Source organism: Homo sapiens, chromosome 10 (assembly GCF_000001405.40).
Source record: "Homo sapiens chromosome 10, GRCh38.p14 Primary Assembly".
Taxonomy (NCBI): Eukaryota; Metazoa; Chordata; class Mammalia; order Primates; family Hominidae; genus Homo; species Homo sapiens.
The window spans coordinates 67,731,605-67,753,408 of record NC_000010.11 but is presented as its reverse complement, the minus strand read 5'-3'; the positions used below and the strand labels follow the sequence as shown (position 1 = coordinate 67,753,408).

At 39.3% G+C, this 21,804-nt stretch overlaps 1 protein-coding gene and 1 pseudogene across 1 annotated transcript in view; one reads left to right on the top strand and one right to left on the bottom strand.

Moving 5' to 3' along the window:
- Positions 1-21,804, top strand: part of CTNNA3 (catenin alpha 3) — a 1,851,072-nt gene that overhangs the window by 10,186 nt on the left and 1,819,082 nt on the right. The window lies entirely within an intron of this gene.
- On the bottom strand, positions 1,980-3,180 carry AKR1B10P1 (aldo-keto reductase family 1 member B10 pseudogene 1; annotated as a pseudogene).

Here is a 21,804-nt window from a genome sequence, read left to right as displayed (position 1 = left end):
TGTTTATGTCCTGAATGGTGTTGCCTAGATTTTTTTCTAGGGTTTTTATAGTTTTTGGTTTTACATTTAAGTCTTTAATCCATCTTTAGTTAATTTTTGTATGAATTATAAAGAAAGGGCCCAGTTTCAATTTTCTGCATGTGGCTAGCCAGTTTTCCCAGCACCATTTATTAAATAGGGAATCCTTTCCCCATTGCTTGTTTTTATCAGGTTTGTTAAATGTCAGATGATTGTAGATGTGTGGCCTTATTTCTGAGATCTCTATTCTGTTCCATTGGTCTATGTGTCTGTTTTGGTACCGGTTCCATGCTGTTTTGGTTACTATTGCCTTGCAGTATAGTTTGAAGTTGGGTAACATGATGCCTCCAGCTTTGTTCTTTTTGCTTAGGATTGTCTTGGCTATATGGGGTCTTTTTTGGTTCCATAAGAATTTTAAAGTAGTTTTTTCTAATTTTTTGAAAAACGGCAATGGTAGTTTAATGGGAATAGCATTAAATCTGTAAATTACTTTGGGTAGTATGGCCATTTTCACGATATTGATTCTCCCTATCCATGACCATGGAATGTTTTTCCATTTGTTTGTGTCCTCTCTTATTTCGTTGAGCAGTGGTTTGTAGTTCTCCTTGAAGAGGTCCTTCACATCCCTTTTTAGCTGTATTCCTAAGTATTTTATTTGTAGCAGTTGTGAATGGGAGTTCATTCATGATTTGGCTGTCTGTTTGTCTATTGTTGGTGTATAGGAATGCTTGTGATTTTTGCACATTGATTTTGTATCCTGAGACTTTGTTGAAGCTGCTTATCAGCTTAAGGAGCTTTTGGGCTGAGACAATGGGATTTTCTAAATATAGGATTATGTTGTCTGCAGAGACAGTTTAACTTCCTCTCTTCCTATTTGAATGCCTTTTATTTCCTTCTCTTGCCTGATTGCCCTGGCCAGAACTTCCATACTATGTTGAATAGGAGTGGTGAGAAAGAGAGAGGGCCATCCTTGTTTTGTGCCAGGTTTCAAGGGGAATGCTTCCAGCTTTTGCCCATTTAGTATGATATTGACTGTGGGTTTGTCAGGAATGGCTCTTAATATTTTGAGATGTGTTCCATCAATTCCTAGTTTATTGAGAGTTGTTAACATGAAGGGATGTTAAATTTTATCAACGGCCTTTTCTGCGTCTGTTGAGATAATTGTGTGGCTTTTGTCTTTAGTTCTGTTTATGTGATGAATTACATTTATTGATTTGTGTATGTTGAACCAGCCTTGAATTCCAGGGATAAAGCTGACTTGATCATAGTGGATAACCTTTTTGATGTGCTGCTGGATTTGGTTTGCCAGTATTTTATTGAGGACTTTTGCATCAATGTTCATCAGGGATATCGGCCCGAAGTTTTCTTTTTTTGTTGTGTCTGTGCCAGGTTTTGGTATCAGGATGATGCTGGCCTCATAAAATGAGTTAGAGAAAAGTCCCTCCTTTTCAGTTGTTTGGAATAATTACAGAAAGAATGGTACCCACTCCTCTTTGAACCTCTGGTTGAATTGGCTGTAAATCTATCTGGTCCTGGGCTTTTTTTTTTTTTTTTGGTTGGTAGCTATTTATTACTGCCCCAATTTCAGAACTTGTTATTAGTCTATTCAGGGATTCGAATTTTTCTTGGTTTAGTCTTGAGATGATGTATGTGTCCTGGAATTTATCAATTTCTTCTAGATTTTCTAGTTTATTTGCGTAGAGGTGTTTATAGTATTCTCTGATGGTTGGTTGTATTTCTGTGGGGTCATTGATGATATCTCCTTCATCAGTTTTTATTGTGTCTATTTGATTCTTCTCTGTCTTCTTCTTCATTAGTCTAGTTAGCGGTCTATTTTTTTTTTACGATCATTATTTTTTATTATTTATCTTTACATCCTCAGTGTTGGCAGAGTTTCTGGTGCTTGACAGACAGACATTTGTTCAGATAAGTGGAAAAAACTGTCATTTGCTTATTCAAGCCATGCTTTTCTGTGATACTCTGATCCTAGTTGAACATACAGAAATAAATGTCTAAAACAGCACCTTGATTCTGGCCTGCAACAGGACGAAGTCACTGTGATCTCAGATAAGCTTGGCTAAAATAGGACTTGAGTGGAGATGTCACACTTCAGCGAAGAAAGAGAATTCCCTGTGTAATCTCACCAGGAGATTCAACCTCAATATTCTGCATCGAAGGGATAGTCCTCCAAATGAGAGGATTGCAACATGTTACGGGCCCTCCAGTTTCTGTTGAAGCTGAGTGTGGTTGCCATCTCCTCATCATTCAATGTAAAGTCAAAGGCCTGAATGTTCTCAACAATGCGTGCTGGTGTCACAGACTTGGGGATCACAGTCACATTCCTCTGGATATGGAAATGGATCAGAACCTGGGCTGTGGTTTTTTGTGCCTTGCAGCAATCTCCTTAATCTTGGGATCCTCCAGCAGGGAAGGGTCCTCTGGCTTGGCCCAAAGTCTATCCGGAGAGCCTAGGGGGCTGTAGGCCATAATGGTGATGCCCTTGGAGTGGCAGTACTGGATCAGTTTCTCCTGTGTGAGGTATGGGTGACACTCAACCTGGTTAGTCACTGGTTTATATTTCAGTCCAGGTTTGTTCAAGAGCCTCTCTATCTGGAAGTGGTTGAAATTGGAGACCCCAAGGGCTTTCACCAGCCCCTCATCCACCAGCTCCTCCATGGCCTCCCAGGCATCCAAGAACATTGCTTTTCCACCGATCATATTACCTTTATCATCTTTGCGGAAAAAATCATCCCCAGACTTGTATCCCTGTGCTAGTGAATAAGATAGACATCCAGATAACTCAGCTTCAGATCCTTGAGGGTCTTCTCAAAGGCTTTCCTCACAAGGGGTCTCTCAAAGAAAGTGGGCCACAACTTGTTGATGATGAAGAGGTCCTCCCGCTTTACAGCCTTCTCTTGGATCTTCTCTTGGATGGCTTCCCCCACCTCATGTTCATTCTGATAGACATAGGCACAGTCAATGTGGCGATATCCTGCATCAATGGCCACCTTCACCACTTCTTTCACTTTGCCGAGAGGAGACTTCCAAGTGCCCAGGCCCACAATGGGCATCTTGGCTTTGGTATTGAGCTCCACAAAGATGGCCATGGTTGGTGCAGAAATGATTCTGAGTGAGCACTAGAAGTCTCACGTCCTGCTGTGTCCAGAGTTGGTTCCTTCCAGTGGGTTCTTGGTCTCACTGACTTCAAGAATGAAGCCACGGACCTTCGTGGTAACTGTTACAGCTCTTAAAGATGGTGTGTCTGGAGTTTATTCCTTCAGATGTGTCCAGAGTTTCTTCCTTCTGGCGGGTTCATAGTCTCGCTGACTTCAAAATGAGCCCGCGGACCTTCACGGCGAGTGTTACAGCTCTTAAAAGGTGGTGCAGACTGAAAGAGTGAGCAGCAGCAAATTTATTGTGAAGAGTGAAAGAACAAAGCTTCCACAGCATGGAAGGGGACCCAAGCGGGTTGCCCACGGTCTATCTATTTTATTAATTTTTTTCAAAAAACCAGCTCCTGGATTCACTGATTTTTTTTGAAGGGTTTTTCATGTCTCTGTCTCCTTCAGTTCCACTCTGATCTTAGTTATTTCTTGTCTTTTGCTAGCCTTTGGCTTTGTTTGCTCCTGCCTCTCTATATCTTTTAGTTGTGATGTTAGGGTGTCAATTCAAGATCTTTCTTGCTTTCTGATGTGGGTATTTAGTGCTATAAATTTCCCTTTTAACACTGCTTTAGCTGCATCCCAGAAATTCTGGTACATTGTCTCTTTTTTTCTCATTGGTTTCAAATAGCTTCTTGATGTCTCTCTTAATTTCATTATTTACCTAGGAGTCATTCGGAGCAGGTTGTTCAATTTCCATGTAGTTGTGTGGTTTTGAGTCACTTTCTTAATCTTGGGTTCTAATTTGATTGCACTATGGTCTGAGAGACTGTTTGTTATGATTTCAGTTCTTTTGCATTTGCTGAGGAGTGTTTTACTTCCAATTATGTGATCAATTTTAGAGTATGTGCCATGTGGCACTGAGAAGAATGTATATTCTATTTTCTTTGGATGGAGAGTTCTGTAGATATCCATCAGGTCCACTTGATCCAGAGCTGAGTTCAAGTTTTGAATATCCTTGTTAATATTCTGTCTCGATGATCTGTGTAATATTGACGGTGGGGTGTTAAAGTCTCCCACTATTATTGTGTGGTAGTCTTAGTCTCTTTGTAGGTCTCTAGGAACTTGTTTTATGAATCTGTGTTCATAAATATATGCATAAATAGGGTGCATATATATTTAGAATTGTTAGTTCTTCTCACTGAATTAATCCCTTTACCATTAAGTACTGCCCTTGTCTTTTTTGATCTTTGTTGGTTTAAAGTCTGTTTTGTCAGAAAGTAGGATTGCAACCCCTGCTTTTGTTTCACTTTCCATTTGCTTGTTAAATATTCCTCCATCCCTTTATTTTGAGCTTGACAAATTATGTGCAAAGACATGTGCAAAGACATGTCATGTGCAAAGACAATTATGTGTGTCTTTGCACATGAGATGGGTCTCTTGAAGACAGCACACCAATTCATCTTGACTCTATTCAATTTGCCAGTCTGTGTGTTTTAATTGGGACATTTAGCCTATTTACATTTAAGGTTAAAATTGTTATGTGTGAATTTGATCGTGTAATAATGATGCTAGCTGCTTATTTTGCAGACTAGTTGATGCAGTTTCTTCAAAATGTCATTGGTTTTTGCACTTCAGTGTGTTTTTGCAGTGGCTGGTACTGGTTTTTCCTTTCCATATTTAGCACTTTTTTCAGGAGCTCTTGCAAGGTAGGCCTGGCAGTGACAAATTCCCTCAACGTTTGCTTGTTTGAAAAATATTTTATTTCTCCTTTGCTTAGAAACTTAGCTTGGCTGGATATGAAATTCTGGGTTGGAAATTCTTTTCTTTAAGAATGTTGAATATTGGCCCACACTCTCTACTGGCTTGTAGGGCTTCTGCTGAGAGGTCTGCTGTTAGTCTGATGGGATTCCTTTTGTAGGTGACCTGGCCTTTTTCTCTGGCTGCCCTTAACATTTTTTCCTTCATTTTGACCTTGGAGAATCTGATGGTTATGTTTCTTGGGGTGATCTTCTCATGGAGTATCTTGCTGGGGTTCTCTGTATTTCCTGAATTCGAATGTTGGCCTGTTTTGCTAAGTTGGAGAAGTTCTCCTGGATGATACCCTGAAGTGTGTTTTCCAACTTGGTTCCATTCTTTCTGTCTCTTTCAGGTACTCCAATAAATCATAGGTTCGATCTTTTTATGTAGTCCCATAGTTCTCAGAGGTTTTATTTGTTCCTTTTCATTCTCTTTTCCATAATCTTGTCTTCCTGCTCTGTTTCAGCAAGAAAGTCTTCAAGCTCTGATATTCTTTCTTCCGCTTCATTGATTCAGCTATCGATACTTGTATCACAAAGTTCTCGTGCTATGTTTTTCAGCTTCATCAGGTCATATTGTTCCTCTCTAAACTGGTTATTCTAGTTAACAGCTCCTGTAACCTTTTATCATGGTTCTTAGCTTCTTTGCGTTAGGTTAGGACATGCTCCTTTGGTTCAGTGAAGTTTGTTATTACCCACCTTCTGAAGCCTACTTCTGTCAATTCATCCATCTCAGCCTCTGCCCAGTTCTGTCCCCTTGCTGGAGAGGTGTTGTGATCATTTGGAGGAGAAGAGGCACTCTGGCTTTTTAAGTTTTTAGCGTTTTTTCGTTGATTCTTTCTCATCTTCATGAGTTGTCTAGTTTCGATCTTTGAGGCTGCTGACCTTTGGATGGGTTTTTGTGAAGACCTTTTTGTTGATGCTGTTGCTGCTTTCTGTTTGTTTTTCTTTTAACAGGCCCCTCTTCTGTAGGGCTGCTGTGGTTTGCTGGGGTTTCACTTCAGGCCCTATTCACCTGGGTCCCTCTCGCACCTGGAGATGTTACCTAAGGAGGCTGGAGAACAGCAAAGATGGGAGCCTGCTCCTTCCTCTGGAATCTCTGTCCTAAAGGGTCACTGACATGATGCCAAGAGGAATGCTCCTGTATAAGGTGTCCGGTGACCCCTGTTGGGGGGCATGGGATCCAGGACCCACTTAATAAAGCACGCTGGCTGCCCCTTGGTGGAGGGGGTGTGCTGCACTGGGGGGAAACCCACTCGTCTGGTCTGCTCATATTCCTCAGAGCTAGCGGAAGGAAAGACTAAGTCTGCTGGTCCATGGAGACCATGGCCACCCCACCCACTAGGGGCTCAGGCCCAGGGAGATCACAGTTCTGTCTCTAAGCCCCTGGCTAGAGTTGCTGAAGTTCCTGCAGGGAGGTCCTGCCCAGTGAGGAGGGATGTGTCAGGGTCTGGCCTAAAGAGGCAATCTGGCTGTGATCTGCCACAGGTGGTGTGCTGTACTGTGGGGAATACCTCTTGGGTCCAAGCCATCCAGTTTCCCCAGCACCAGCAGGGGAAAAATGGTGCTCTGCAGCTGCAGTGATAGCTGCTGCCCTTCTCCCGCTGGCTCCTGCCCCCACCACTTCCCCAGAGTTTAGTCATTTTAGGCAGCTGCATGATGACTGCTGTCCCTTCCCCGTGGAGCTCAGTTGTCTTAGGCAGACTGCAGCTGAATGGCTATTGAGAATCTGCACAGCTCTGTGGTTGGGACCCAAGGCCCTGATGGTGGCATGGGCTCATGAGTGGGATCTCCTGATCTGCAGGTTGCACAGATCCATGGAAAAAGCGTGGTTTCCCAGGCTGGGTAGCACGACTGCTCACCGTCTCCCTTGGCTGCAGGTGGGGGCTGCCTTTGTCCCATGTGGCTGTCAGGTGGGCTGAGGCACCACTCTGCTTTTCTTTGCTCTCCGTGGGTCAAACCAAACACCTAGTCAGTCCTGATGATAGAACATGGATACCTTGGTTAATGATGCAGGATTCGCATGCTGTTTTGGTTCTTCTTGGTGGAAGCCTCCCACTGTAGCTGTTTCTAGTTAGCCATCTCAGCTCCGCCCCACTCCCTCAGTTTCATTCATGTGCATATAGTTATCCCATTGTCCCAGCATCATTTATTGAAGAGACTGTCCTTTCCCCACTGTATGTTCTTAGTACCTTTGTTGAAGATGAGCTGGCTGTAAATGCATAAATTTACATGTGGGTTCTCTATGCTGTTCCACTGGTCTGTGTCCCTGTTTATGCTAGGACCATGCTGATTTTGTTACTATAGCTTTGTAGTAAATTTTGAAGTCAGGAAGTGGGATGCTTCCAGCTTTGTTGTTTTTCCTCAGGACGTCTTTGGCTATTTGGGGCCTTTGTGTTTCCATGTAAATTTTTGAATTGTTTTTTCTATTTCTGTGAAGAATGTCATTGGTATTTCGATAGTGGTTGCATTGAATCTGTAAATTGCTTGGTGCAGTATTGTCATTTTAATGATATTATTTCTTCCAATCCATGAACATGGAATATCTTTCTATTTTTTTGTGTCCTCTTCAATTTCTTTCATCAGTGTCTTATGGTTTTCTTTGTATAAATCTTTCACTTCCTTGGTTCAATTGATTTCTAGGTATTTTGTATTCTTTGTAGACATTATAAATGGGGATGGTTTCTTAATTTCTTTTTCAGATTTTTTGCTTTTGACATATATAAAGTTACTGATTTTTGCATGTTGATTCAGTACTCTGAAGCTTTACTGAATTTATTGTCAGCTCTAACAGTTTTTTTCATGGAGTCTTTTTTTAAGTTTTATTATTATTATACTTTAAGTTTTAGGGTATATGTGCACAGCGTGCAGGTTTGTTACATATGTATATATGTGCCATGTTGGTGTGCTGCACCCATTAACTCGTCATTTAGCATTAGGTATATCTCCTAATGCTATCCCTCCCCCCTCCCCCCCACCCCACAACAGTCCCCGGTGTGTGATGTTCCCCTTCCTGTGTCCATGTGTTCTCATTGTTCAATTCCCAACTATGAGTGAGAACATGTGGTGTTTGGTTTTTTGTCCTTGCCATAGTTTGCTGAGAATGATGGTTTCCAGCTTCAACCATGTCACTACAAAGGACATGAACTCATCATTTTTTATGGCTGCATGGTATTCCATGGTGTATATGTGCCAAATTTTCTTAATCCAGTCTATCGTTGTTGGATATTTAGGTTGGTTCCAAGTCTTGGCTATCGTGAATAGTGCTGCTATAAACATATGTGTGCATGTGTCTTTATAGCAGCATGATTTGTAATCCTTTGGGTATATACCCAGTAATGGGATGGCTGGGTCAAATGGTATTTCTAGTTCTAGATCCCTGAGGAATCGCCACACTGACTTCCACAATGGTTGAAGTAGTTTACAGTCCCACCAACAGTGTAAAAGTGTTCCTATTTCTCCACATCCTCTCCAGCACCTGTTGTTTCCTGACTTTTTAATGATCACCATTCTAACTGGTGTGAGATGGTATCTCATTGTGGTTTTGATTTGCATTTCTCTGATGGCCAGTGATGATGAGCATTTTTTCATGTGTTTTTTGGCTGCATAAATGTCTTCTTTTGAGAAATGTCTGTTCATGTTCATATCCTTCGCCCACTTTTTGATGGGGTTGTTTGTTTTTTTCTTGTAAATTTGTTTGAATTCATTGTAGATTCTGGATATTAGCCCTTTGTCAGATGAGTAGGTGCAAAAATTTTCTCCCATTCTGTAGGTTGCCTGTTCACTCTGATGGTAGTTTCTTTTGCTGTGCAGAAACTCTTTAGTTTAATTAGATCCCATTTGTCAATTTTGGCTTTTGTTGCCATTGCTTTTGGTGTTTTAGACATGAAGTCCTTGCCCATGCCTATGTCCTGAATGGTATTGCCTAAGTTTTCTTCTAGGGTTTTTATGGTTTTAGGTCTAACATGTAAGTCTTTAATCCATCTTGAATTGATTTTTGTATAAGGTGTAAGGAAGGGATCCAGTTTCAGCTTTCTACATATGGCTAGCCAGTTTTCCCAGCACCATTTATTAAATAGGGAATCCTTTCCCCATTTCTCATTTTTCTCAGGTTTGTCAAAGATCAGATAGTTGTAGATATATGGCATTATTTCTGAGGGCTCTGGTCTGTTCCATTGATCTATATCTCTGTTTTGGTACCAGTACCATGCTGTTTTGGTTACCGTAGCCTTGTAGTATAGTGTGAAGTCAGGTAGTGTGATGCCTCCAGCTTTGTTCTTTTGGCTTAGGACTGACTTGCTGATGCGGGCTCTTTTTTGGTTCCATATGAACTTTAAGGTAGTTTTTTCCAATTCTGTGAAGAAAGTCATTGGCAGCTTGATGGGGATGGCATTGAATCTATAAATTACCTTGGGCAGTATGGCCATTTTCATGGTATTGATTCTTCCTATCCATGAGCATGGAATGTTCTTCCATTTGTTTGTATCCTCTTTTATTTCATTGAGCAGTAGTTTGTAGTTCTCCTTGAGGAGGTCTTTCACATCCCTTGTAAGTTGGATTCCTAGGTATTTTATTCTCTTTGAAGCAATTGTGAATGGGAGTTCACTCATGATTTGGCTCTCTGTTTGTCTGTTATTGGTGTATAAGAATGCTTGTGATTTTTGCACATTGATTTTGTATCCTGAGACTTTGCTGAAGTTGCTTATCAGCTTAAGGAGATTTTGGGCTGAGATAGTGGGGTTTTCTAGATATACAATCATGTCATCTGCAAACAGGGACAATTTAACTTCCTCTTTTCCTAATTGAATACCCTTTATTTCTTTCTCCTGCCTGATTGCCCTGGCCTGAACTTTCAACACTATGTTGAATAGGAGTAGTGAGAGAGGGCATCCCTGTCTTGTGCCCATTTTCAAAGGCAATGCTTCCAGTTTTTGCCCATTCATTATGATATTGGCTGTGGGTTTGTCATAGATAGCTCTTATTATTTTGAGATATGTCCCATCAATACCTAATTTATTGAGAGTTTTTAGCATGAAGCGTTGTTGAATTTTGTCAAAGGCCTTTTCTGCATCTATTGAGATTATCATGTGGTTTTTGTCTTTGGTTCTGTTTATATGCTGGATTACATTTATTGATTTGCGTATGTTGAACCAGCCTTGCATCCCAGGGATGAAGCCCACTTGATCATGGTGGATAAGCTTTTTGATGTGCTGCTGGATTTGGTTTGCCAGTATTTTATTGAGGATTTTTGCATCAATGTTCATCAAGGATATTGGTCTAAAATTCTCTTTTTGGTTGTGTCTCTGCCAGGCTTTGGTATCAGGATGATGCTGGCCTCATAAAATGAGTTAGGGAGGATTCCCTCTTTTTCTATTGATTGGAATAGTTTCAGAAGGAATGGTACCAGCTCCTGTTTGTACCTCTGGTAGAATTCGGCTGTGAATCCATCTGGTCCTGGAGTGTTTTTGGTTGGTAAGCTATTGATTATTGCCTCAATTTCAGACCCCGTTATTGGTCTGTTCAGAGATTCAACTTCTTCCTGGTTTAGTCTTGGGAGGATATATGCGTAGAGGAATTTATCCATTTCTTCTAGATTTTCTAGTTTATTTGTGTAGAGGTGTTTATAGTATTCTCTGATGGTAGTTTGTATTTCTGTGGGATCGGTGGTGATATCCCCTTTATCATTTTTTATTGCGTCTATTTGATTCTTCTCTCTTTTCTTCCTTATTAGTCTTGCTAGCGGTCTATCAATTTTGTTGATCTTTTCAAAAAACCAGCTCCTGGATTCATTAATTTTTTGAAGGGTTTTTTGTGTCTCTATTTCCTTCAGTTCTGCTCTGATCTTAGTTATTTCTTGCCTTCTGCTAGCTTTTGTATGTGTTTGCTCTTGCTTTTCTAGCTCTTTTAATTGTGATGTTAGGGTGTCAATTTTAGATCTTTCCTGCTTTCTCTTGTGGGCATTTAGTGCTATAAATTTCCCTCCACACACTGCCTTGAATGTGTCCCAGAGATTCTGGTATGTTGTGTCTTTGTTCTCGTTGGTTTCAAAGAACATCTTTGTTTCTGCCTTCATTTCATTATGTACCCAGTAGTCATTCAGGAGCGGGTTGTTCAGTTTCCATGTAGTTGAGTGGTTTTGAGTGAGTTTCTTAATCCTGAGTTCTAGTTTGATTGCACCGTGGTCTGAGAGACAGTTTGTTATAATTTCTGTTCTTTTACATTTGCTGAGGAGTGCTTTACTTCCAACTATGTGGTAAATTTTGGAATAAGTGCAGTGTGGTGCTGAGAAGAATGTATATTCTGTTGATTTGGGGTGGAAAGTTGTGTCTATTAGGTCCGCTTGGTGCAGAGCTGAGTTCAGTTCCTGGATATCCTTGTTAACTTTCTGTCTCGTTGATCTGTCTAATGTTGACAGTGGGGTGTTAAAGTCTCCCATTATTATTGTGTGGCAATCTAAGTCTCTTTGTAGGTCTCTAAGGACTTGCTTTATGAATCTGGGTGCTCCTGTATTGGGTGCACCCAATATTTGGGATAGTTAGTTCTTCTTGTTGAATTGATCCCTTTACCATTATGTAATGGCCTTCTTTGTCTTTTTTGATCTTTGTTGGTTTAAAGTCTGTTTTATCAGAGACTAGGATTGCAACACCTGCCTTTTTTGTTTTCCATTTGCTTGGTAGATCTTCCTCTATCCCTTTATTTTGATCCTATGTGTGTCTGTGCACGTGAAATGGGTTTCCTGAATGCAGCACACTGATGGGTCTTGACTCTTTATCCAGTTTGCCAGTCTGTGTCTTTTAATTGGAGCATTTAGCCCATTTACATTTAAGGTTAATATTGTTATGTGTGAATTTGATCCTATCATTATGATGTTAGCTGGTTATTTTGCTCATTAGTTGACGCAGTTTCTTCCTAGCCTCGATGGTCTTTAGAATTTGGCATGTTTTTGCAGTAGCTGGTACCAGTTGTTCCTTTCCATGTTTAGTGCTTCCTTCAGGAGCTGTTTTAGGGCAGGCCTGTTGGTGACAAAATCTCTCAGCATTTGCTTGTCTGTAAAGTATTTTATTTCTCCTTCACTTATGAAGCTTAGTTTGGCTGGATATGAAATTCTGGGTTGAAAATTCTTTTCTTTTCTTTTTTTTTTTTTGTTCTTTTTTTATTTTTTATTTTTTTATTTTTTTATTATTATACTTTAAGTTTTAGGGTACATGTGCACAATGTGCAGGTTAGTTACATAGGTATACATGTGCCATGCTGGTGCGCTGCACCCACTAACTCGTCATCTAGCATTAGGTATATCTCCCAATGCTATCTCTCCCCCCTCTCCCCATGCCACAACAGTCCCCAGAGTGTGATGTTCCCCCTCCTGTGTCCATGTGTTTCCATTGTTCAGTTCCCACCTATGAGTGAGAATATGCGGTGTTTGTTTTTTTGTTCTTGCGATAGTTTACTGAGAATGATGATTTCCAATTTCATCCATGTCCCTACAAAGGACATGAACTCATCATTTTTTATGGCTGCATAGTATTCCATGGTGTATATGTACCACATTTTCTTAATCCAGTCTATCATTGTTGGACATTTGGGTTGGTTCCAAGTCTTTGCTATTGTGAATAGTGCTGCAATAAACATACGTGTGCATGTGTCTTTATAGCAGCATGATTTATAGTCCTTTGGATATTTACCCAGTAATGGGATGGCTGGGTCAAATGGTATTTGTAGTTCTAGATCCCTGAGGAATTGCCACACTGTCTTCCACAATGGTTGAACTAGTTTACAGTCCCACCAACAGTGTAAAAGTGTTCCTATTTCTCCACATCCTCTCCAGCACCTGTTGTTTCCTGACTTTTTAATGACTGCCATTCTAACTGGTGTGAGATGATATCTCATTGTGGTTTTGATTTGCATTTCTGTGATGGCCAGTGATGGTGAGCATTTTTTCATATGTTTTTTGGCCGCATAAATGTCTTCTGTTGACAAGTGTCTGTTCATGTCCTTTGCCCACCTTTTGATGGGGTTGTTTGTTTTTTTCTTGTACATTTGTTCGAGTTCATTGTAGGTTCTGGATATTAGCCCTTTGTCAGATGAGCAGGCTGTGAAAATTTTCTCCCATTTTGTGGGTTGCCTGTTCACTCTGATGGTAGTTTGTTTTGCTGTGCAGAAGCTCTTGAGTTTAATTAGATCCCATTTGTCAATTTTGGCTTTTGTTGCCATTGCTTTTGGTGTTTTAGACATGAAGTCTTTGCCCATGCCTATGTCCTGAATGGTAATGCCTAGGTTTTCTTCTAGGGTTTTTATGGTTTTAGGCCTAATGTTTAAGTCTTTAATCCATCTTGAATTAATTTTTGTATAAGGTGTAAGGAAGGGATCCAGTTTCAACTTTCTACATATGGCTAGCCAGTTTTCTCAGCACCATTTATTAAATAGGGAATCCTTTCCCCATTTCTCATTTTTCTCAGGTTTGTCAAAGATCAGATAGTTGTAGATATGCGGCGTTATTTCTGAGGGCTCTGTTCTGTTCCATTGATCTATATCTCTGTTTTGGTACCAGTACCATGCTGTTTTGGTTACTGTAGCCTTGTAGTATAGTTTGAAGTCAGGTAGCACGATGCCTCCAGCTTTGTTCTTTTGGCTTAGGATTGACTTGGCGATGCGGCCTCTTTTTTGGTTCCATATGAACTTTAAAGTAGTTTTTTCCAATTCTTTGAGGAAAGTCATTGGCAGCTTGATGGGGATGGCATTGAATCTATAAATTACCTTGGGCAGTATGGCCATTTTCACGATATTGATTCTTCCTATCCATGACCATGGAATGTTCTTCCATTTGTTTGTATCCTCTTTTATTTCCTTGAGCAGTGGTTTGTAGTTCTCCTTGAAGAGGTCCTTCACGTCCCTTGTAAGGTGGATTCCTAGGTATTTTATTCTCTTTGAAGCAATTGTGAATGGGAGTTCACTCATGATTTGGCTCTCTGTTTGTCTGTTATTGGTGTATAAGAATGCTTGTGATTTTTGCACACTGATTTTGTATCCTGAGACTTTGCTGAAGTTGCTTATCAGCTTAAGGAGATTTTGGGCTGAGACAATGGGGTTTTCTAGATATACAATCATGTCATCTGCAAACAGGGACAATTTAACTTCCTCTTTTCCTAATTGAATACCCTTTATTTCCTTCTCCTGCCTAATTGCCCTGGTAAAAATTCTTTTCTTTAAGAATGTTGAATATTGGCCCCCACTCTCTTCTGACTTGTAGAGTTTCTGCTGTTAGTCTGATGGGCTTCCCTTTGTGGGTAACCCAACCTTTCTCTCTGGCTGCCCTTACCATTTTTTCCTTCATTTCAACTTTGGTGAATCTGACAATTATGTGTCTTGGAGTTGCTCTTCTCCAGGAGTATCTTTGTGGCATTCTGTGTATTTCCTGAATTTGAATGTTGCCCTGCCTTGCTAGGTTGGGGAAGTTCTCCTGTATAATATCCTGCAGAGTGTTTTCCAACTTGGTTCCAGTCTCCCCGTCACTTTCAGGTACACCAATCAGATATAGATTTGGTCTTTTCACATAGTCCCATATTTCTTGGAGGCTTTGTTCATTTCTTTTTATTCTTTTTTCTCTAAACTTCTCTTCTCACTTCATTTCATTCATTTCATCTTCCATCACTGATACCCTTTCTTCCAGTTCATTGAATTGGCTTCCGAGGCTTGTGCATTCGTTATGTAGTTCTTGTGCCTTGGTTTTCAGCTTCATCAGGTCCTTTAAGGACTTCTCTGCATTGGTCATTCTAGTTAGCCATTCGTCTAATTTTTTTTTTTTCAAGGTTTTAACTTCTTTGTCATGGGTTCGGACTTCCTCCTTTAGCTCAGAGTAGTTTGATCATCTGAAGCCTTCTTCTCTCAACTCATCAAAGTCATTCTCCCCCCAGCTTTGTTCCGTTGGTGGTGAGGAGCTGCGTTCGTTTGGAGGAGGAGAGGCACTCTGATTCTTACAGTTTCCAGTTTTTCTGCTCTGTTTTTTCCCCATCTTTGTGGTTTTATCTACCTTTGGTCTTTGATGATGGTGACGTACAGATGGGGTTTTGGTGTGGATGTCCTTTTTGTTGATGTTGCTATTCCTTTCTGTTTGTTAGTTTTTCTTCTAACAGTCAGGTTCCTCAGCTGCAGGTCTGTTGGAGTTTGCTGGAGGCCCACTCCAGACCTTGTTTGCCTGGGTATCACCAGCAGAGGCTGCAGAACAGCAAATATTGCGGAACAGCAAATATCGCTGCCTGATCCTTCCTCTGGAAGCTTTGTCCCAGAGGGACACCCGCCTGTATGAGGTGTCTTTCGGCCCCTCCTGGTGTTGTGTTGTTTCCTGTTTGTTTTGTTTTAACAGTCAGGTCACTCTTCTGTTGGGCTGCTGTGGTTTGCTGGGGGTCCACTCCAGACCCTAGTTGCCTCGGTTTTCTTCATACCTGGAAGTATCACCAGTGAAGGCTGTGAAACAACAAAGATAGCAGCCTGCTCCTACTTCTGGAAGCTCTGTCCCAGTGGGGGTACTGACATGTGCCTGTAGGAGGTGTCTTTGTAGCAGCATGATTTATACTCCTTTGGGTATATACCCAGTAATGGGATGGCTGGGTCAAATGGTATTTCTAGTTCTAGATCCTTGAGGAATTGCCACACTGTCTTCCACAATGGTTGAACTAGTTTACAGTCCCACCAACAGTGTAAAAGTGTTCCTATTTCTCCACATCCTCTCCAGCACCTGTTGTTTCCTGCCTTTTTAATGATCGCCATTCTAACTGGTGTGAGATGGTATCTCATTGTGGTTTTGATTTGCATTTCTCTGATGGCCAGTGATGATGAGCATTTTTTCATGTGTCTTTTGGCTGCATAAATGTCTTATTTTGAGAAGTGTCTGTTCATATCCTTTGCCCACTTTTTGATGGGGTTGCCAAAAAACTAACTTTTAATTTGGTTGATCCTTTGCATTTTTTGGTCTTAATTTCTTTTATTTCTGGTCTGATCTTTATTGTTTCTTTCCTTCTGGTAATTTTGGGTTTGGTTTGTTCCTGCTTTTCTAGTTCTTTGGGGTGCATTGTTATGTTGTTTATTTGAAGTCCTTCTATTTTTTTGATATAGGTGTTTATGGCTATAAACTTCTCCCTTAGTACTGCTTTTCCTCTATTGTGTATCTTTTGGTATGTTGTATTTTCATTTTCATTTATTTCAAGACATTTTAAAATTTCTTTCTTAATTTATTCATTGATCCATTGGTCATTCAGGAGCATGTAATTTAATTTCCATGTGCTTGTGAAGTTTCCATGGTTTCTTTTGTTATGGTGGTTTTATTTCTAGTTTTAGTCCATTGTGCTTTAAAAAGGTACTTGAAATTAGCCCGGTGTGGTGGTGTGTGCCTGTAATCCCAGCTACTCAGGAGGCTGAGGCAGGAGAATCACTTGAACCTGGGAGGTGGAGGTTGCAGTGAGCTGAGATCATGCCATTGCACTCCAGGCTGGGTGACAGTGTGAGACGCTGTCCCCCCCAAAAAAAAATTAAAATAAAAAGGTACTTGATATGATTTCTTCTTTTTTGGATTTGTTCAGACTTGTTTTGTGGCCTGATATATGGTCTTTTCTGTAGGATGTCCTGTGTGCTGGTGAAAAGAATGTGTATTCTGTAGCAGTTGGTGAAATATTCTGTAAATGTCAGGCCTCTTAAGTCTAGTTAAGTCTAGTTAAATCTAATGTTTCTTTGTTCTTTTAAAAAATGTGGGCCGGGTGTGGTGGCTCCCAAATCCCAGCACTTTGGGAGGCCGAGGTGGGTGGAACACGAGGTCAGGAGATCGAGACCATCCTGCCTAACACGGTGAAACCCCATCTCTACTAAAAAGTACAAAAATTAGCCAGGCGTGATGGTGGGCACCTGTAGTCCCAGCTACTTGGGAGGCTGAGGTAGGAGAATGGCGTGAAACTGGGAGGCGGAGATTGCAGTCAGCCGAGAACGTGCCACTGCACTCCAGCCTGGGTGACAGAGAGAGACTCCGTCTCAAAAAAAAAAAAAAAAAAAAAATTGTGGTAAAATATGCATAACATAAAATTTACCATTTAAGTACTTGTTATTGAACTATTCAGGAACATTAAATACATTTACAATGTTTTGTAACCATCACCACTACCCATTTCCAGAACTTTTTAATCATCCCAAACAGAAACTCTGTAGCCAATAAATGGTAACCCCACTTTCCTTCCTGCCCCTAGTTTCTGGTAACTTCTACTTTCTGTCTCTGTAGGTCTCTCATATAAGTGGAATTATACAATACTTATCCTTTTGTGTCAGGCTTATTTCACTTAGCATAATGTTATCAAGGTTTGTCCATGTTATAGCATGTATCAGAATTTAATTCTTTTTTTGGCTAAATAATATTTCATTGTATGTATATACCACATTTTGTTTATCCATTTATTTGATAATGGACACTTGGATTGCTTTTAGCTTTTGGCTGTTGTAAATAATGCTACTATGAACATTGGTGTGCAAGTATCACCTAATTTCTTTTTATGGCTGAATAATAATTCAATGCATGAGTATACACATTTTGTTTATCCATTAATCATTGGATTATTTCTACCTTTTGTCTATTATGACTACTGTTGCTGTGAACATTTATATATAAATCTTTGAACATCTGTTTTCAGGTATTCTCTTGGGTATATACCTAGAAGTAGAATTGCTGGGTTGTATGGTAATTCTATGTTTAACTTTTTGAGGAACTACCAAACTGTTTTCCATAGCAACGGCAGTGCACTATTTTACAATTCCTCAAGCAATATATGAGGGTTTCGATTTCTACATATCCTAGTCAACACTTTCTTTCTTTCTTTTTTTTAAAAACATAACCATCTTAATAGATGTGGTGTGGTATCTCATTGCGGTTTTGATTTGCATTTGCCTAATGACTAATGATGTTGAACTCTTTTTATGTGCTTATTGGCCGTTAGTATATTTCCTTGGGACAAATGATCATGCAAGTCCTTTACCCATTTTTGATCTGAGTTTTTTGTTTTTTGTTGTTGATTAATATAACTTATATTATATCCGTTCTGTCATCATGGTTATTATTTTAATGACTGCATAATTGTCCATTGAGTTGATGTACTATATTTTATTTCCTGATTCTTTTATCTCTTATTCTTTGTACTTCAACACCCACTCCAAACTCCAGATTCTTATTTCATCATCTTCCTGTTTTGCACATATACTCTTTCCCAGACTTGATATATGTTAATGTGCCATTTCTCAAAGGATGCTCTATAGAACACTTACATTAAGATCACCTAAGAGAGCCTGTGTGTGTGTGTGTGTGTGTGTGTGTGTTTGTGTGTGTGTGTGTGTGCTCACTTGCTGGAAGGGTGGACATGTTAAAAGTTTACATTTCCAACCTTGCTCTAGACCTACTGTGTCAGTGTCGAGGACATTGTGTACCTTTAGAAACAGTGATACATGTTACTTGAAGAAATACTGCATACCTTTTAAGAAACTGTTTTGTAAAATTTACTTTATCTTAAAGACATTTCCATATTGATATATGTATGTATAATCAGCTATATCATCATTTTAATGTCCATGTATGTATCATAGGTTTTATTTAAAAAAAACCCATGTTATAGGACATTTAGATTATTTATAATTCTCCATGGTTATAAACCATATTGCTTGCTTCCTGTAAATCCTTTAAAGACTTGTCTGATTATTTCCCTGGGACAAGCCCTTAGATATATTATTTTTGGTCAAAGTATGTACTTTTAAAAGGATTTTAGTGCCAAATTGCCCTCCAGAAATGTTTTCCCAGTTCATATTCATACCAGGAATTATCCTAGTATCTGCTTCTCTAGAGCTTTGACTTCCTTATGTCTACACTTTTATCATTCTTTCAAATCTTGGTCAATAAGCAAGAGATAGTATCTTCTTATTTTGACTAATGATTTAACTCATGTTAATTATTTCTGTATAATAGGTACAATCTTTCATGTTATTCTCCTCTGCTAGATTATTCCTTTCCCCAGGATCATATATATCTTTGAGTCTTATATTTATTTTTATTCACCCTACTGGAGCCTTGCCTGGTAGTCACTGAATAAATTTTTATATATTTGACTTGAATTCTCAAAAATAGTAGATTCTTCAACTCTGAACTCCAGATTCAGAACATATAATTGTTGATTTTTTAGTCTTATCTGCACACTGATTCTGACCACAGTCAGGAGCTTTATCTTCACAGAGTTCTTGGCTTTATATTTAAAAAGTTAATTTGAATTAATTAACATGTAGGGTTAATATTTGAACAGAAGTTATGGTAATTTTGTTGACTGGCCAGGAAAAGAGAAAAGAGGAAGGCTATTTAATAAGGTCTTATGTCTATAAGTGGGTATTACATAGTAGATAGAAGGAACTTAAACTCTACCTATAAAAATTTAGGCTAGATATAAATTTAAAAATCCAGCGTGGTTGTTATGAGGCTTTAAAATAAATTCCCTGGTGGAAAATTTAAGTATTTTGTGAAAATTTGTCTCCCTCTAAAGGGCTCAAGTGAACCTTTTCATGGAAAGGGAAACTATAAATTTCTGAAGGATAGGGACTGTGGCATCTTTTGCTATTTTTTAATCTCTTAAAGCCACAGCCAAATTTAGGGTCTGACTGCCAGGTAGCTGCCCAGAATATACCCTTACAAGAGTTATTAAAGCATGAGTGGCAATGTAATAGGGTTAAGTTGTGTTTTCTAGAATACCTGGCAGGAAGAGAGGTAAATATGGTAGGAAGGAGTGACACTTGTAGTGGAGTGAGTATTTGTCGGAAAGGTAAGTGACATTTCCAAGGGAACATGCTCCAGTAATGAAAGATGTTGCTAAACTATTTTCTAAGGATGGTGAATCCAGCTAAGTGGTGAGTATAATTTAGGGCCAGAAGTGATTTGCTTTAAGCAATAGGATAGCTTGCATACCACCAGCAGTCCTTTTTGTGGCTGTTCTCCAAGCAGAGACAAGCCTCCTTCCTAAATCTTGAATAAAGGTCCCTTGGTGGAAGATGGGTATGATCTACGGATGTAGAGTAGGTTGAGGAACCCAGAATTCCATTTTAGATGTATTATGTCTGAAATACCTTTAACGCATTCAAATAGATTTGTCATGATCTGACTTTGGAACCCTTTTGGGCAAAACCAAACCTTATGAACTGGAAGAATAGTAGCAACTTTTCAAAGAAAATTTATGTGGGTCATTTCATTTTTTAATCTCAGCTTTTCTAAAACTTAGCTTTAAATATTAATTTTTAATTAAAAATTTAAATGTTTAGGTGTGTAATAAAGGTACCTGGTTAACTCATTATAATCCTTGCACATAATTTGATTTTGACCATGTACTTATTTGACATAGATAAAATATTTACATTTTTCATTATGTAGTGGGGTGTTGGAATGTGCAGCTGCTACTATTCACATCTGTGTGGATTTTCCCCATAAACGCTGTTACATACCTTGGTGTGTTTGCTCTGTATTTTGGAGCTTGACTTCTTTGCTCAATTCTACACTTTTAACGGAGTCTTGAGAGAGAGAATGTGTGTGTGTGTGTGTGTGTGTGTGCGTGAGTGAGAGAAAGAGGGAGAAGGCTACGTTCAATTTGCCATCTTTAACCTAATTTTAAATATTTTCTTTGGTTATATTACACTGTGTTGATACTGAGTTTTTTTATAGGCTTACATGGACAAATGAAAAAATAATGAGAAACTAATGTTGTGAGAGAAATAATAAGTTAGAAGACATTTTATCTAATTTCATACCCTATTAGAAGAATATCTTGATTTTAAAACTGCTGCCCATTTTTGTGTTGTTGGCTCATTATTCAACTAAATATGTAGTGAGATTTAAGGCCATTCTATTACTGATGAGCTCTGAAATGAAGGGTTATGTTTTTGTCCTAAGACAGAATGCATTTTTAATTAGAAAGTTATGTCAAGAATCAGAACTGCTTAGACCACGAGTGGCTTCTCAACTTGGGTGAAATTAGTAACAGGTTTTTACTTATCAAGAAGATAAAGTCAACAATGGTTGTAAACATTATGATTTTTGAGATTTTTATGATACTTTTTTCATAAGACTATGTCCTATTCAGATGCCCAAATAAGATTTTAACTGAATACATATCTATATATGCATAAACATGTTTTAATTTAAGCACAATTTAAATTGTTTTATATACCATAGTACTCTTGTTTGATTTGAAAAATACAAGTTCACACACTAAAAGGCCCGACCTCACCATTATGCAATATATCCATGTAACCAAGCTGCACTTGTGCCCCTTAAATTTAGACAAATAAAAAAACTCAAGTTCAACAATTGATAACAAGTCTTATTATTTTTCAATTAAGCTTAAAAAAAAAAAAGATGGGCCAGGCATGATGGCTCACGCCTGTAATCTCAGCACTTTGGGAGGCCGAGGTGGGTGGATCATAAGGTTAGGTGTTCGAGACCAGCCTGGTCAACACACTGAAACCCCGTCTCTACTAAAACTACAAAAACAAAAACAAAAACAAAAAAAATTAGCCGGGCTTGGTGGCGGGTACCTGTAATCCCAGCTACTAAAAAAGAAAACAAAACAACAACAACAACAAAAACTAATGATGTGAACCATTGTTTAAAAGCAAAATATCTTTTTTTTTTTTTTTTGAGACGGAGTCTTGCACGTTGCCCAGGCGGGAGTGCAGTGGCATAATCGCGGCTCACTGCAAGCTCCACCTCCCGGGTTCACGCCATTTTCCTGCCTCAGCCTCCCGAGTAGCTGGGACTACAGGCGCCCACCACCACGACTGGCTAACTTTTTGTATTTTTAGTAGAGACGGGGTTTCACCGTGTTAGCCAGGAT